The 13,849-nt window shown below is 44.7% G+C and overlaps 1 protein-coding gene and 1 long non-coding RNA gene across 8 annotated transcripts in view; one reads left to right on the forward strand and one right to left on the reverse strand.

The window, feature by feature from the left end:
* Positions 1-6,682, forward strand: part of SVIL-AS1 (SVIL antisense RNA 1) — a 78,323-nt gene extending 71,641 nt beyond the window's left edge. For 3 of the 4 annotated variants that reach the window (NR_110920.1, NR_110921.1, NR_110922.1), the window contains one exon: positions 1,659-4,533. This is a non-coding gene — a long non-coding RNA (SVIL antisense RNA 1). Of the gene's footprint in view, positions 1-1,658; positions 4,534-5,980 lie in introns of those variants that run through there. The other variant, NR_110927.1, reaches the window with a different exon arrangement.
* The window catches only part of SVIL (supervillin), a 279,599-nt gene that overhangs the window by 23,837 nt on the left and 241,913 nt on the right, over positions 1-13,849 (reverse strand). For all 4 annotated transcript variants that reach the window (NM_001323599.2, NM_021738.3, NM_001323600.1 and 1 more), the window contains 9 exons: positions 13,740-13,826; positions 12,040-12,217; positions 9,673-9,845; positions 7,427-7,582; positions 5,989-6,125; positions 5,236-5,383; positions 4,911-5,056; positions 3,482-3,657; positions 410-554 (listed from right to left, as the gene is read on the reverse strand). In NM_001323599.2, the coding sequence (NP_001310528.1) occupies positions 410-554; positions 3,482-3,657; positions 4,911-5,056; positions 5,236-5,383; positions 5,989-6,125; positions 7,427-7,582; positions 9,673-9,845; positions 12,040-12,217; positions 13,740-13,826 (1,346 nt within the window). The remainder of the gene's footprint in view (positions 1-409; positions 555-3,481; positions 3,658-4,910; positions 5,057-5,235; positions 5,384-5,988; positions 6,126-7,426; positions 7,583-9,672; positions 9,846-12,039; positions 12,218-13,739; positions 13,827-13,849) is intronic.

The raw sequence follows: 13,849 nt of genomic DNA on the forward strand, positions 1-13,849 counted from the left end.
TGTGTCTGTGTGTCCATGGTTTTTTTTTTAATTAAAAAAGTATTTTAGTTGACACATTATTATGGGTATGATTCGATGTGTTGATACATGCATCTGTTTTATGGGGAAGGGGGTGTGGGAAGGAGACGGGACAGGGAAGATAGGGAGATGTTGGCCAACCGGTACAAAGTGACAGAGAGGAGGAATGAGCTCTGGTTTTCTCCTGCACAGTGGGGTGACTGTTTTCCAATACTGTATTGCATATTTCAAAATAGCTAGAGGAGAAGATTTGAATGTTCTCACCACAAAGAAATGATACATCTGGGGTGACAGCCATACGAACTATCCTGATTTGATCATTTTACATGAAGGCCACTTTTATTGGGACCCGAACCAAGCCCCGAGTTTTGAGGCTTGGTCGCCGGAATACCTTGTGCTGGGCAAGTTCCCCGGGGTTCTTCTCATTCGATCTCTTCAGTTCCGTCCAATCCAGAAACTTCTCTTTGAACAAAATCGTCTCATTGTGTTCAGTAAGTCTCCCAAATATCGCCCAGTCGGGCCGCCCCTGTCCTTTTCTGTAGGGTGGGAGGGGGGTTGGGAGAACAGACAGGAAAAGAACCAAGATGAAGCCAAGCTTAAACAAAGGAATCTAAAACACATGCGGCTGCTGGAAAAAACCTCAAAGTACGTGAGTACATATAAAGTAAATGGTTTATTTTCCTGCATTTTACCAAATAATGACATTTTGTTATTTTAGTCTGAAGTCTTGCAAAGCTTTGTGTCCATGGAGTTTTTGATGTGCCTGAATGTGACATGAACCATGTCAGGACTAGACTTTTCTTACATTCTAGCAAGTTCTTTTCTTTTCTTTTTTTTTTTTTTTTTTTTTTTTAGAGATAAGGTCTTGTTCTGTTGCCTAGGCTGAAGTGCAGTTGCACAATCATAGCTCCCTGCAGCCTTGAACTCCTGGGCTGCAGTGATCCTCCTGCCTCAGCCTTGCAGATAGCTGGAACTGCAGGTGTGTGCCACCATGCGTAGCTAATTTTTGTATTTTTTTAAATATGAGACAGGGGTCTCGCTATGTTGCTCAGGCTGGTCTTGAACTCCTGGCCTTAAGTGATCCTTCCTTCTCAGTCTCCCAAAGTGCTGGGACTACAGGTGTGGGCCACATTCTAGCAAATTCTTGTCTTTGGGATACCCTGGGGTGGCACGCTGGGTGGGGATTTTGGAAAAGGCAGGAGCCGCAGGAAAACCTTGTCTACTTTAGCCGCCCAGTCACCTGCAGATGCTTACCAAGTTTCCCGTCCAATTAATTAATAGACATAGGGAAGAGGTAGCTCCCTCCTCAATTCTCTACTATTTTATGTCATGTTACAACAAAGCTCTCCAGAGTATGGAGATTCTCCCGTCACTAAAATGAACACACTTTCATAGATCTTGAAGTGCCTTTTTGTGCACTTATTTCTAGGCCACTGGCCAGGGCAGCAGACAGGAGAGCACAGAGAGATAGGAAAGAAAACGGCATAGCTCCACCCGGAGGTCTTGTGTGGCCTTAGGATTTCAAAATTTACACTGTCCCCAAGAACACAGGTATTTTAGATAAAGGCAGAGCTGAGAAGATACACGTGCTGCAGAGGGCGTAGCCCTGGAATAACATGCACGATCTCTCATCCCTCCAGATCCATCTTCGGTTGTGAATCCGGCCCGGAATGCAGCCACCCCTTAGAGCAACCCCCCTTGCTGCTCGTGCCCTGCTGTGCTACTGCCTCAGTCACTTCCTGCTTGGTCAAGACCACAGCTGCTGATGTCACAGCTGAGGCACATCAGAAAGGCTGCCTGATTCAAAGAAAGCTGCCGGATAAATCATAGAGCACAGACACTTCTACCTCATGCTCTTATGGGACTTTAGGAACCAAACATAAGCACCTATGGAAAATGCACGGCGGTCTTGAAAGGCTGTGGTCTTTATCAGAAAATATCTGAATGACTGTTTGTTATGTCAGTCCTACTCTGCAGGCTTGCTAAGATGATGATTGAAAGGGCTCTTGGTTTCTGCTTTGGAATCTGGCATTTATGTTTTGAAGCGTTGTGAGCAAGCGATGTGGCAGATTGCAGGGTGAGGGGGACAAACCTGGGCCAGGAGCCAGGGGTTTCTCTACCCCCTTCCCTGACTTACAGCTGGAACTGGGCTCAGTGGTTTCAGCCTCATTTGCTAAGAAGGTCTGGGTATGTAATCCTGGCTGCATCTTAAAATCCCTAGGAGCTTTTAAGACATATTGACACATAAGCTCTAACTCACATGAAACGAAAACACATCTCTGGGGCTGGGCTGAGCAAATGCATTTTTTAAAAGGCCCCTCAGGTGATTCTGTCTCAGAGATGTTGAAAACCAGTGGGTTAGGAGCTCAGTCATCCACTTTCAGATCTGTGATTATGCCACTATTAAATACAGTTGGCTATCACATAGATTTTATGCTTTAGCTTGTTCTTTTTTCCTTTGCTATACCAAATAAAATCTTCTGAGCTGTAGTTCCAGTCCTTAAAATAATGGTTGTTACCATACTGAGGTTAAACATTAGTGCATTTGCTTAACAAGGACTTTAAAACTTATCACACTGCCATAATTTTTAATGGTTTCTATAATGATTAATTAATAAGAAAATCAATAATTGGATTTTAAGCAGGAAACTAGGCAGGAAAGTTGAAATTCATAGACCAATTCAATGGAAAACATTAAAATGTATTGGGAGATGCCCAATATTCTATGCTGTTTGGTGGTTCACTGGTTTCTAATCTATTATAACGGCACCCATAGTTAAAAAGCACTAGTTTTTTTTTGGTCTGATAGTTGAAAAAACAACAATCCTTTGCACGTAGGAATTATTTTTTCCAACATCATAATTTCTGACTTTGCACATATTCTATTGAATTGCCAAAATGACTTTAAAGAGTCTAGTACATGCAGGGAATATTACAATTGCAATCATTATTTTAACACCATCTCCTCCCCCTCTTCCCTTCCCAAAAGATATAAAGACATAAACATCATCTGCTGCCAAATAAATCCTGAAATTCGAGGGCGATGCTGGGAAGGTATGAAATTAGAGGGAGGCATGTTGCTTTTGCACTTTCAGATCAATGGCTGAATTCCAGACCCGGGGAAGCCTTTCAGATCCGCATGTAATTTGTTTAAACAATTGCTGTTCATCTGCCACAGCAGCACTTGTAATGCCGCAGGGAGGAACTTGCAGCATTTCTTGCTCACTTCAAGAAATCAACTATAACAAACCTCTTCCAGAAGACTACGACATCCATATTTCTGCAATAGTTAGATAAAAGTTAAAGAACTGTTCCTTTTGTGAATATTCACAGTCCACTGCATATAATCGTTTATGAAAACTGAACCCTATAAAGAGCGAGAGTAGAGGACTGTGGTGAGAACAGAGGGATCGAAGGGAATCAGCTCGCTTGAAGAGCTGTCCCCGGGCGGCGGCAGGAGTACCTGGGGATAAGCGGATTGCATTCTCCAGGATCCAGGGGATTGATGTCACAGTTCTCATAGTCAAAGGTTCCATTCCATAAGTGCTTTGCCAGCTGAAATGCTATTTTTCGTTGTGCTAATGTGACTTCTTTCCCATGCCATACGTAAACTTCACTACCAAAATCAAACACCAGTACCTGGGAGAAATGGCACAAAAGAATTTGTTAACTTCAAGAACATGCAACAGTTGAATCAGGTGCAACAGGGTCTCTTGTTGACAGTGAGTCAAACGGAGGAAGACAGAAATCCTAACGGGGCGACCAACACAGACACAAAAAGGCCAGGAGATCTCAGCTGGCACTGCCCCACCGAGCCAGCCTCTGCCCTGCGGGCACGATTCCTCCTCCCAGTGTCCTAAGTGGCCAGGATAATGTTCCCTCCTCTGAACTCTCAACCTGCTTACAACTTGCGATTCACAAGAGTTCTTTAGGTACATCTTCCTGTCGACTTCCTGCCTCTCTCCCCTATTCCTCCCCCTCTCATGTGCTCATTCATTCACTTAATATATACACAGAGGCCACTTCATATACCGCAGGCACTCATGGTCCAGTGGTGTCTTCTCTCCAGTACACAATTCCAAGATCCTTAAGGGCAGGGATCAGATCATGGTGATACATACAGGAGGGGTTGATTACTAAGTGTTTGCTGAATGAATACATGAATGTAATGCTATTTCTTATGTTCATGGTTCATTTTATTCTTTCTCCTAGAATGAGTTCTCCCTTCACTTCCAGCAATTCAAATTTTGCTTAACTCTAAACTAGGCTCAATTTCACTTTCTATGTAAAATTATTCCTGAAGGTTTCTTTTTCTGTGACTTTTCCCTCATGTAAATGCCCATACATGTCACACAGTCAACCTTGCTCCAGATTACATTCCTTCTAATACTCTTCCACCCAATTAAACTTAAGGGCCTGCGTGTCTTCCACTTTCTCAACACTTAGCATGCTTAATGATACTGGAAATGTATGTAATTAATAAATATTTACTGCTGTGACAGGACAAAAACAGCACATTAATTGGGAAATCCATAAATTATATATGCATGCATCTAGTGTTCCTTAAACTTAAGGATTTAAAAATATTTTATTATAATGTTTATGCAAAATGCAAAAGATAGGGCTAAGTAATATTTGTATTTTGCCTAAGATATAAAAGCCTTCAATGATCCATGCCAACTCTAAATGATATTCTGGATTCCATATTAGCATTTAAGATACCAGTAATGGTTTGAAATCACAAATATCCTTTAAAAAGCTGTAAATGTTCTACAATGGATACCGACACTGGCTAACCTTTATTGGGAACTTACTCTCTAATCTATTGGGCAGCCTGTGCTGAGTGCTTTCAATGTGGTTTCTCACTGAAGGGCAGAGCCCACGGACTGTACCTCTTTGGGTTGCAGAAGGGAGCACTTCGGAATTTTCCCCCAGTAGTCGTCATCAGGAACAAGTTTGTCATCCATGAGACGGTAAATGCAGTTAGTTTCTATTATGGCTGCTTCATAGAGTTCATCTTCTTTTGGGTCTCCAGCAGCTTGGGGATAAGAAGAACAGGAGAGCATCACATTTTACATTGCAAAGTAGCTGCAATGTAAAATGTGAATGAATTTCACATTGTAAAATTTTATTTACAATGTAAAATAGAAGAATGAGCTAAGGGAGAAGAAAGGAGATTCAAGTCTCGTCAATCTCTGAAGTACAATGAAGTCTTACATTGGTAACTGGTTTGGCCACCCAGAAGCTTCCAGAAGTCTTTGGCTGCATGAGTGTGTGTATTAATTCCTTCTTCAATGGTTTGGATATAAGTAGCTCTACAACCAAGTTCCCTCTTTGTCTGAATTAAAGTTGCAAGTTCTGAGGCCTAAAAAAGAGAGGAACACAATTGCCTGGGTAGAAAAGCCCTTGGCTAGACAGAGTGGCACATGTCAAAACCAGAGAGGAGAAACAGTGTGCCTGCAAGGAAAGCCTTGTGACCACGGGTGTGGGTGGATGCTGGTTACTGGGTATTTTCAATGACCTCAAGAAAATGTAACTGAAAGACCAGGGAGTATCAATTCTTTAGAGCAATAGTTCTCCATCTTCAATAGGTCACATGTGATGCTTTTAAAAAACACTATTCTTTGGGCTTTACCCCATGACAGTCTCATTCAACAGGTCTATGGCAGAACTTCAGAGCTACCTGGGATAAAGGACTTTAAAGTGGGGCCGCTTCCTTTTTTACACAGGAGTAGGAAGGAACCCAGGACCTAAACACTGGGGTGTAGGTCATAGTCCTAAAGTATCCCATTTAAACATGTAATGAAAGCTTGTTTGAGAGACATTCAGGAAAAGAAATCCTACCTATCCCTTCTCACTTGAATGCAACACCTGGCTTTTGAGAAGCTTTGTGACTGACGTCAGGAAGAACACTCCTCCGGTGCGTAAAGGAGATGTTAGCTAAAGCATTTTTATTTTTCAGGTACCAACCTTCGCCTTTTCTATGACGTTTGCAAACTCTCCTACCCACAGGAAGCAGCAGTGGGGAGAGAGCAGGAGGAAGCAGTCCCCACTGTTGAGCGCCGAAGCTCGAGGTTCCACCAGCCTGGTCTGCACATGTCTTCTTCCTGAACACGAGGCAGACAGTCACCGTCTTTCCAGACAGAACGGGGATAGGACGCACCCCATATCGGAAGCATCCCTGCTGCGGACGCTTTCACTTCTAAAGAGTCTTGTCTGCTAATAAGAGTGCCCATGGCCCAGGGTGGCAGCAGGGGGATTTAGAAAGGGCATGATGATGGCACTAGCGGCTGCTTTCCTGGTTTGTGCTTTCCCAAATGTCACCCACTTCTCAGGACCATTATCAGTGTCATGTGCGTGGGTTAATGAAGGCTCCCCCTTCCAGGGAGATGAGCACACAGGCTCCTTTTCCCTCCTTCACTCTTCTCCCGGGGCCTTTCTCTCCCCTGGCCACCTCCTGCACCCAATTACATCTGTGGCCCAGGCAAGGGAAGCCACGCCTTCAGGAAGGGTCGGCTCTTCCCCTGGGGAGTTTCCACTATGAACCCTAGGGGCCTCTCAACAGGAAGGATGGAGGCGCCACCTTCTGTGGCTTTCAACACCTTTTCCTAAATATTTGTTGATTTTGAGCTTTCCACAATTAAACAGATCATGTAGTCTCTGGGTTAGGACTCAGGACAGAGATTGGTTATTTGAGCTTGTCACTAGTCTTTTTAAATACACACAATAGGATAGTGGTTACACAGAAACATGTGGGAAACCCTCCTGGAGGGAGAGGATATTTCCTTCATTCTCATCTCAAGGATTCATCTATACAGTGGCCACCAGGAGGCAGCCGAGTCTCCTCCTCATGGCCCAGAGACGCCCTGGTTCATCTTTGGAATCTCCCTTGCTACGGACAGGAAGGGCACTAGAGCGGAATGCAGGTGGGCTTCATCTGCGTCGAACTTCCCTTGATTCCTTCTCCAAGCTGTGTCTTCCTCCCCAGTTCTGTACTGACTCGGGGAGAACTGGGCAGAGAGCAGAGAGCCCCTCTGATGATGTAGGGCACCTCTGGTAACTGCATGGATGTGTGACCGCTTCGTGGGGCACGGGGCGCCAGGAGTAAAAGCTGGGATTCTGGAGTGGGGGGACCTGGGTTCAAATCCAGCTCTGCCACCCAGTAGCTGCTGGGACTCCAGACACGTTCCTGCCTCTGGAAGCCCTGGTGGGCAGAATACTTCCTATGTCATGGGATTTGGGGAAGCTTGAGAGACAGGAGGTTGCATAGCAAGGAACACACAATAAGTTCTCAAAAAGTGTGCGTTCCTTTCCCGGCACAGGCAATGAATTACAGAGTCAGGACTCCGTATGGGACCAGACAGAAACCACGGGCCCTGAGTCACCGTGCCAGGCTGCTCTGAAATACCTTTAATCTGCAACAGCATCAGCCTCTTGTAGGGCACGGCGCTGTTGTTAGAGTTCTGTTCCGTCAGGTTGACGCTCCGCAGGCTGACGTTGCTGAAGTTTTCTTTACTGGCTAAACCCGCCAGGGTGACTTCTGAGAAGTTGGAGTTGGAAGACACTGGGCACGTTGAATAAGGAAACACAACGCAGGAGGTTCAGTTACAGTGACAATATTTACAGTCAGAAATTATTCATAACTGACTCAACACCTTTGTCTTTTCAAGTTAATCCCGAGAGGGAAAACATACTCAAGTTTGATTAAATGTGCAATTCAATGCTTAACCACTGTGTTAAGAATTAAGTACAGCATTGAAAATATAAACTGCTTGTTGACAAGTGTCACTCCATGCTGTGCAGAGGGACAAGAACTGAGTGATGACGTGGACCAGCTACTTTAGTACAAAACCAGGAGCTGGATGCACTTGTTGCAATTCCACTGAAAGCTGTTCTAAATCCTAACAACTTTTACATGTCCAAATGTATAGATGCCAGATGACTGTTAGACCGCTTTCACCAAAAGCCTTTATACATAAAGAAAACAAAAAAGTAGACACTCTGTAAGGGATGATTAGGTTCTAATCTTTATCTGAAGGCAAAGTGATCAGCCAGATGATATCTTGAGATCTTCTGCTCTTAGAGTTAAGACTGTAGTTATAAGATGGGTTTTCACTGCAAAACAGCAAACATCTATAGACCGGTCAGTCATCACTAATCCAACCCCTGAGCCCCCAAAAGTGGAGGCAGAGGAAACATATGTAAAATCTGTGCCAACATTTATTTCTCCAACTTATTGTTTTAAAAATGTATATGCTAGAGAGAAATTCAGAAATTTATTTCACTGGGATTAGGTTTGAAGACATATAATACCACTTGTCAATTCATTATGGTGTTGTGCTTTTTAAATACACTTTTTTTGTTGTTGTTGTTGAGAAAGGGTGTGGCTCTGTCGCCCAGCCTGGAGTGCAGTGGTGCAGTCATGGCTCACTGCAGCCTTGACCTCCCGGGGTTTAGTGATCCTCCCACCTCAGCCTCCTGAGTAGCTGGGACCCCAGGTGAGTGCCACCACACCTGGCTAATTTTTTCATTTTTTGTAGAGATGAAGTCTTGCTATGTTTCCCAGGCTGGTCTCAGACTCCTGGGCTCAAGTGATCCTCCTGCCTCTGCCTCCTGAAGTGCTGGGATTACAGGCATGAGCCACCATGCCCAGTCTGAAATATACTTTCATAGTAAACCAGTTATAACAAAAAGACTCAACCACTTCATCTAAATACTATATTTCTAAGAAAAACATTAGGAAATAGGTCTATGAGTGTTATGGGAAAATGAAAATTATAGCAAGATTATCCCAAAAATCAAGATTATGCATGCTATCACCTCAAACCAAGAAAATCACTGTTTCAGAATGATGGAACCCCACATTACTGGGCAGATGAGAGCAGTGTGGCTCAGCCTACAGTGAGACTGAGAGTCTGGAGCCCATCTCCTCGCCTCCATTCATCGCCCCTGCCAGCTCCCCCTGCTCCCTCCAGCCCACATCCCAACTCCGAGAAGCTCAGGGTCCTACCAAGAACGATCTGAAAAGCACTGGCGTTTGTGTTAATTAATAATATAAAAATCTAGGATTAGATACTCCAGTGATTTGAAGTGTTTTACTATAAGAGATCAAATAACTCTTTTACTATAAGAGATCAAACGACTAATAAGATTAAATGAAGAATGATTGTGTGTTCAGGATCTACAGAGCTGAAAATGGCTGAATTACCATACTCAGAAATATCCATCTCTTCTAACTTCCAGAAAAAAACTCAACAAAACAGGGTAATTTGTAACCGGGTGCGGTGGCTTGTGCCTGTAATCCCAGCACTTTGGGAGATCAAGGTGGGAGGATTGTTTGAGGCCAGAGAGTTTGAGATGAGCCTGGGCAATATGATGAAACCCCCAGTCTTTAAAAAAAAAAAAAAAAAACCAAACCCCAGTATAATCTGAATTAACTAACTGAACAGGTGATACACACTTTGAGAATTTCTATGAAAAATCTTTAAAGTCTAGGTGCGTGCACATGTATGTGCAAACTTACTCCTTTTTACTTCATGAGGGTCTTCTGAGCACCATTATTGGCCTTCACAAGGCAGAAAACCAAGCAATGAGTAGAGCATCGGAAGAAGCCATTCCCAAACACAGAAGCAGGGTGGGGGTTCAAATACTCACTCTTTTCTACTTTCATCCGCTTTGACTCCATGAAGGCAACGTTTAATCTCTGCTCAGTGTATTCCTGAAGGAGATCTTCTCTTGCCGCCAGCATTTTCAGGGGGTTTTTGGAGGCCTGAACCCGGCGCTTGGGCCTAACTGCCCGCTTGTGCTCGGCCACGGAAGACGTCAATCTGCGGATGGAAGCAGAGCCGCGGTCCCAGTCTGTGACACCACCACCCCTGGATGACCTGGGGGTCTTGGACTCCACAAAGTATTTCCTGATTTTGTTACAAATCTTGCAACTCTTCCTCCCACCGCCACTCCCCTGACATGGAGTCGTAGAATCTTGGAGATGGAAGAGGGATGCAAGCCCACTGAGTTCAAATCTCAGCCACACCCGGATGCCCCCACTCACTCATGCCCCTTGGTCTCCTCCTGGGAGGGTGTGGAGTACTTCCGGGCAGCTCACGGCTCTGCTAGACAGCTCTAGGGTTTAGGGAGCTCTTCCCTCCCCCCTACCACGCCCATGCACACGTCCTAATTCTCGCTTTGGAATCATACACCCATGTCTACTTGTCTGTTTCCGGCAAGCCCTTCGGGAATTTGCACGGGCTCCTTGACGTAATCCTCTTCGCTCGGCCTAAACTTTCTCCCTATGCAATAGCTTTCGGTCCCCTTACTGACCCTCCATGACTAGCTTCCACTTAACGCACTGCCTCCTCTGAAAAATAACCACTTTTTGGAAGACTATATTGAAATAAAATAGGCCCGCAACCATCTGTGACCACCCCACATTCTCACAATTCTTTGGGGTGGAAAACCAGACTAGGGAAGGTGAGCAGACCGAGAGAAGCGATCTCCCAACAGACTCCTGCTGCCACTCTCCACCTCCAGCTGCGCGGGCCTCTGTGCCCAAAAGGCGTCTTTACGTACCATGGTGTCATATGTGTCTATCAATATGTTTAAATTATGATATACAACTACTTAAACAGTGACATTGTGTGGGCGGAAGATTGAGAAATGGTTAAACCGCTATGTATGCAAATACCCAAAATACTATTTTGAAGTAGAAAATGGCAAAGGGCTCATTTTTTAAGGTAGGAAATTAAAACATGCAAACTGAAACAAATTGAGCAAACTGGAATATGCAAAGAATTTATCAGGAGCAGCTTGTAGAAAATGGTATATGTCACTGACAATTTTGCAGTTAAGAGCAGATGGATGTGGTGGATTGCCGTGGGTGGAGCCTGTCTAGCGTGTCTCCCTCTGCTTCTGGTAATAGCATCTGGATTTTCCTTTGGGGAAACCACCTCACTGCACCCCCATCGTGGCTCTAAAGGAGACCCAGAGCCCCGCCTTTACCCAGTCAGCATCTTCTATCCCATTGGCCACAGTGACTGGTTTAGGGATGGACAGGGGGCTCAAGTTGAAGCCAAGAAAATCAAACCTGGAACTTCTGCTTGGACTACTGGGAAGAAAAGCTACCCGTGCTGGGCTGGCCAGGGAGGCAGCCTTGTGACTCCAGAGCTGGGGTGTCCATCTGCCGCCAGGCCGCTGCCTGACGGAGAGTGAGGCCAGCCCAAAGGAAAACAGCCAAGACAGACTGTGTTCTGAGGGGCCTCTAGAACCCGAGGCCACATCTGCACTGTTCAGCGCGTGAGCCAGTAAACCCCTCCGCACTGTTCAGTGGCTGAGCCGGCAAACCCCTCCGCACTGTTCAGCCAGTGAGCCGACAAAGCCCTCCGCACTTTTCTTTTTGCTGAAATCAGTTTGAGTTGGGATCTTTTTCTTGGCACTTGAAATTGACGGACTCCTAATACCATAATCACTTTTCCTAGTTGGTTTAGTCATGTTCCCCTGGGAAGAGAAACCCTTAGACATCAATGAGAAAGCCCGCAGATCTATTGATTTTATAAATGATTGGAAGCTAAGTAACATGCCTTACTGATTTTCTAGTTAGCTGTATTAGTTTGAGCCCATCTCATCCAAATATTTTGCAAAATTATGAGCAAGAATTCAATATGTCAAATGAAAGACAGGCGTTGAACTCTCTGCTAAGTGATGTAAACCTAAAAACTGCAAAACAATATTTACATTATGTGAAAAATCCAGTGACGCCCTCTTTATGGCACAGGACAAGCATCTGTGGCCCACGCGGTCTGCCTGCATGCACATCTGGTCTGCCGTCTGCATGTTTTATCTGCTGCGAGGCTCCGTGCCCCTGGCTCCTGCAACACCTTGCCCTGGCTCTAGAATACTAACGCCGCCGTGATGGAGTTAGAAGGAGAAGGAGGCCACACTGGGGGAAAAGCCTCATGGATGTGCCCTCTGCAGGCGAAGGAAGCCCTTCTCAGTGGAGGAAAGACGGAGACCCAAATAACTCACTTGGGTGCATAAGGATCGAAAATGACATCGAAGTCCTCATCCATCTCCACAGGACTTCTTGGCATATTATAATCCACGCTGCGGTAAAATTTGGCAAAGGTTTCATCATCATCTGGCTTCATCACCTCCTTCACAGATTTGCCGGTGACAGTGAGCACCGTTTCGTGCATCCCGCCAACTATCAACAAACAAGCAAAAGACATAAGAGTTTTATAAAAACAAGGACTCCAATTATGCTTCACAATAGTTTAAAAATTCTATTGCCTCCTAAGTTCCAGGAGTGGAAGAAACACGGTTGTGATATACAGGGTCCTGTGGTTGCTTCCCAGGCCCTTACTTAATCTCTGACGTAAGGACTTCCCACCTGAACAAATCTGCAGTAAAATGGGAGAGAGGGAGGCTGACCATACTGCACACACGCGCCCACTGAACGCTTCTGAACCTGCCCTTGCTTCTGTTGAGGGTAGGTGAACCAGCCTCAGCCTCATTCTACGTGAAGGGTTGGCAAACTTTTTCCAAAAAGGGCCAGCCAGTAAACATTTTAGGCTTTGCATGGGGAGGGGTGACATGGGGCCTGTGTTGCGACAACTCAGTTCTGCTGTCTTAATGCAAAAGCTATTGACAATAGTTCACAAATGGGCATGGATATGTTTCAATAAAACTTTATTTACAAAAACAGGGCTGGGCATGGTGGCTTACGCTTATAATCCCAGCACTTTGGGAGGCTGAGGCTGGGGGATCGCTTGAGCCCAGGACTTCAGCCTGAGCAACATAGTGGGTCCCCATCTCTACAAAAACAGAAAAAAAATTAGCCAGGCTTGGTGGTGCACGCCCATAGTCCCGCCTACTTGGGAGGCTGAGGTGGGAGGATTGCTTGAGTCCAGTTCAAGGCTACAGTGAGCTATGATGGCACCACTGCACTTTAGCCTGGGTGACAGAGCAAGACCCTGTCTCTAAAAAACAAACAAGAAAAAAAAAAAGCAAGTGGGCAGCTGGATTTGGCAATGGCCATCGTTTGCTGACCCACGGGCTAGATCACTGCTCCATGTGTGTAATAAATGCGTTGCTGACTGGCATTCCCTGCCTAGCCAGTTCAGTTATTATATTACACTTTTATATTTCTGTTCAGTGGTGGTTGTATTATTTTCAACCTTTTAGTGGTCACTGTCAATAGTAGGGACTCCCAGCGCCTAGTATTTGATAAGTTTCCAGGATTGGGCATTTTAATCAAGAGATAAAAGGCTGTTTTTGCATATTGCTCTTTTATTTGGTATACCGCATTGACTTTTATATTGAAACATTTACTTCAATATTCATTTGCCATAATTTTCTTTTAGAAATCATTTGTGATTATATGAAATAATATTAGCTTTTACCTTATTGGAAATTGATAACATACAATTTAAAGTTCACCAGGCCCAAGGTCACGTTGATTTTGCCGACACATAATAATCTGCTTTCAGAGTTATAAGCAAAATCACTCAGTTCACAATTCCAATTGGATGGCATCCCAAGGGCTTAGATTCAAGAAAAAAATGTATTATTGGGAGTCCCCAATTTAGTACGTTATCAAGTGAATCAGGGCTTGTTTCTCTAATCAGTCTTGACCAAAACTTCTTTTTTTTGGCTGAGGAAGAAAAGCAATCAGAATTAGGATTTAGAGATTCTGAGAGCAAAGCCTTCTGGCTTCCAGTAGGTACCTTTGTTATTCAGCCTTCTTAGAAAGGTTTCCAGCCTGTCCAACTTCAGGTCCGATTCTAACTGCATATCTGGTCTGGCTTCGATATCTAGGCAAGCAGAAACCGTCAGT

Source organism: Homo sapiens, chromosome 10, assembly GCF_000001405.40.
Source record: "Homo sapiens chromosome 10, GRCh38.p14 Primary Assembly".
Classification (NCBI taxonomy): domain Eukaryota; kingdom Metazoa; phylum Chordata; class Mammalia; order Primates; family Hominidae; genus Homo; species Homo sapiens.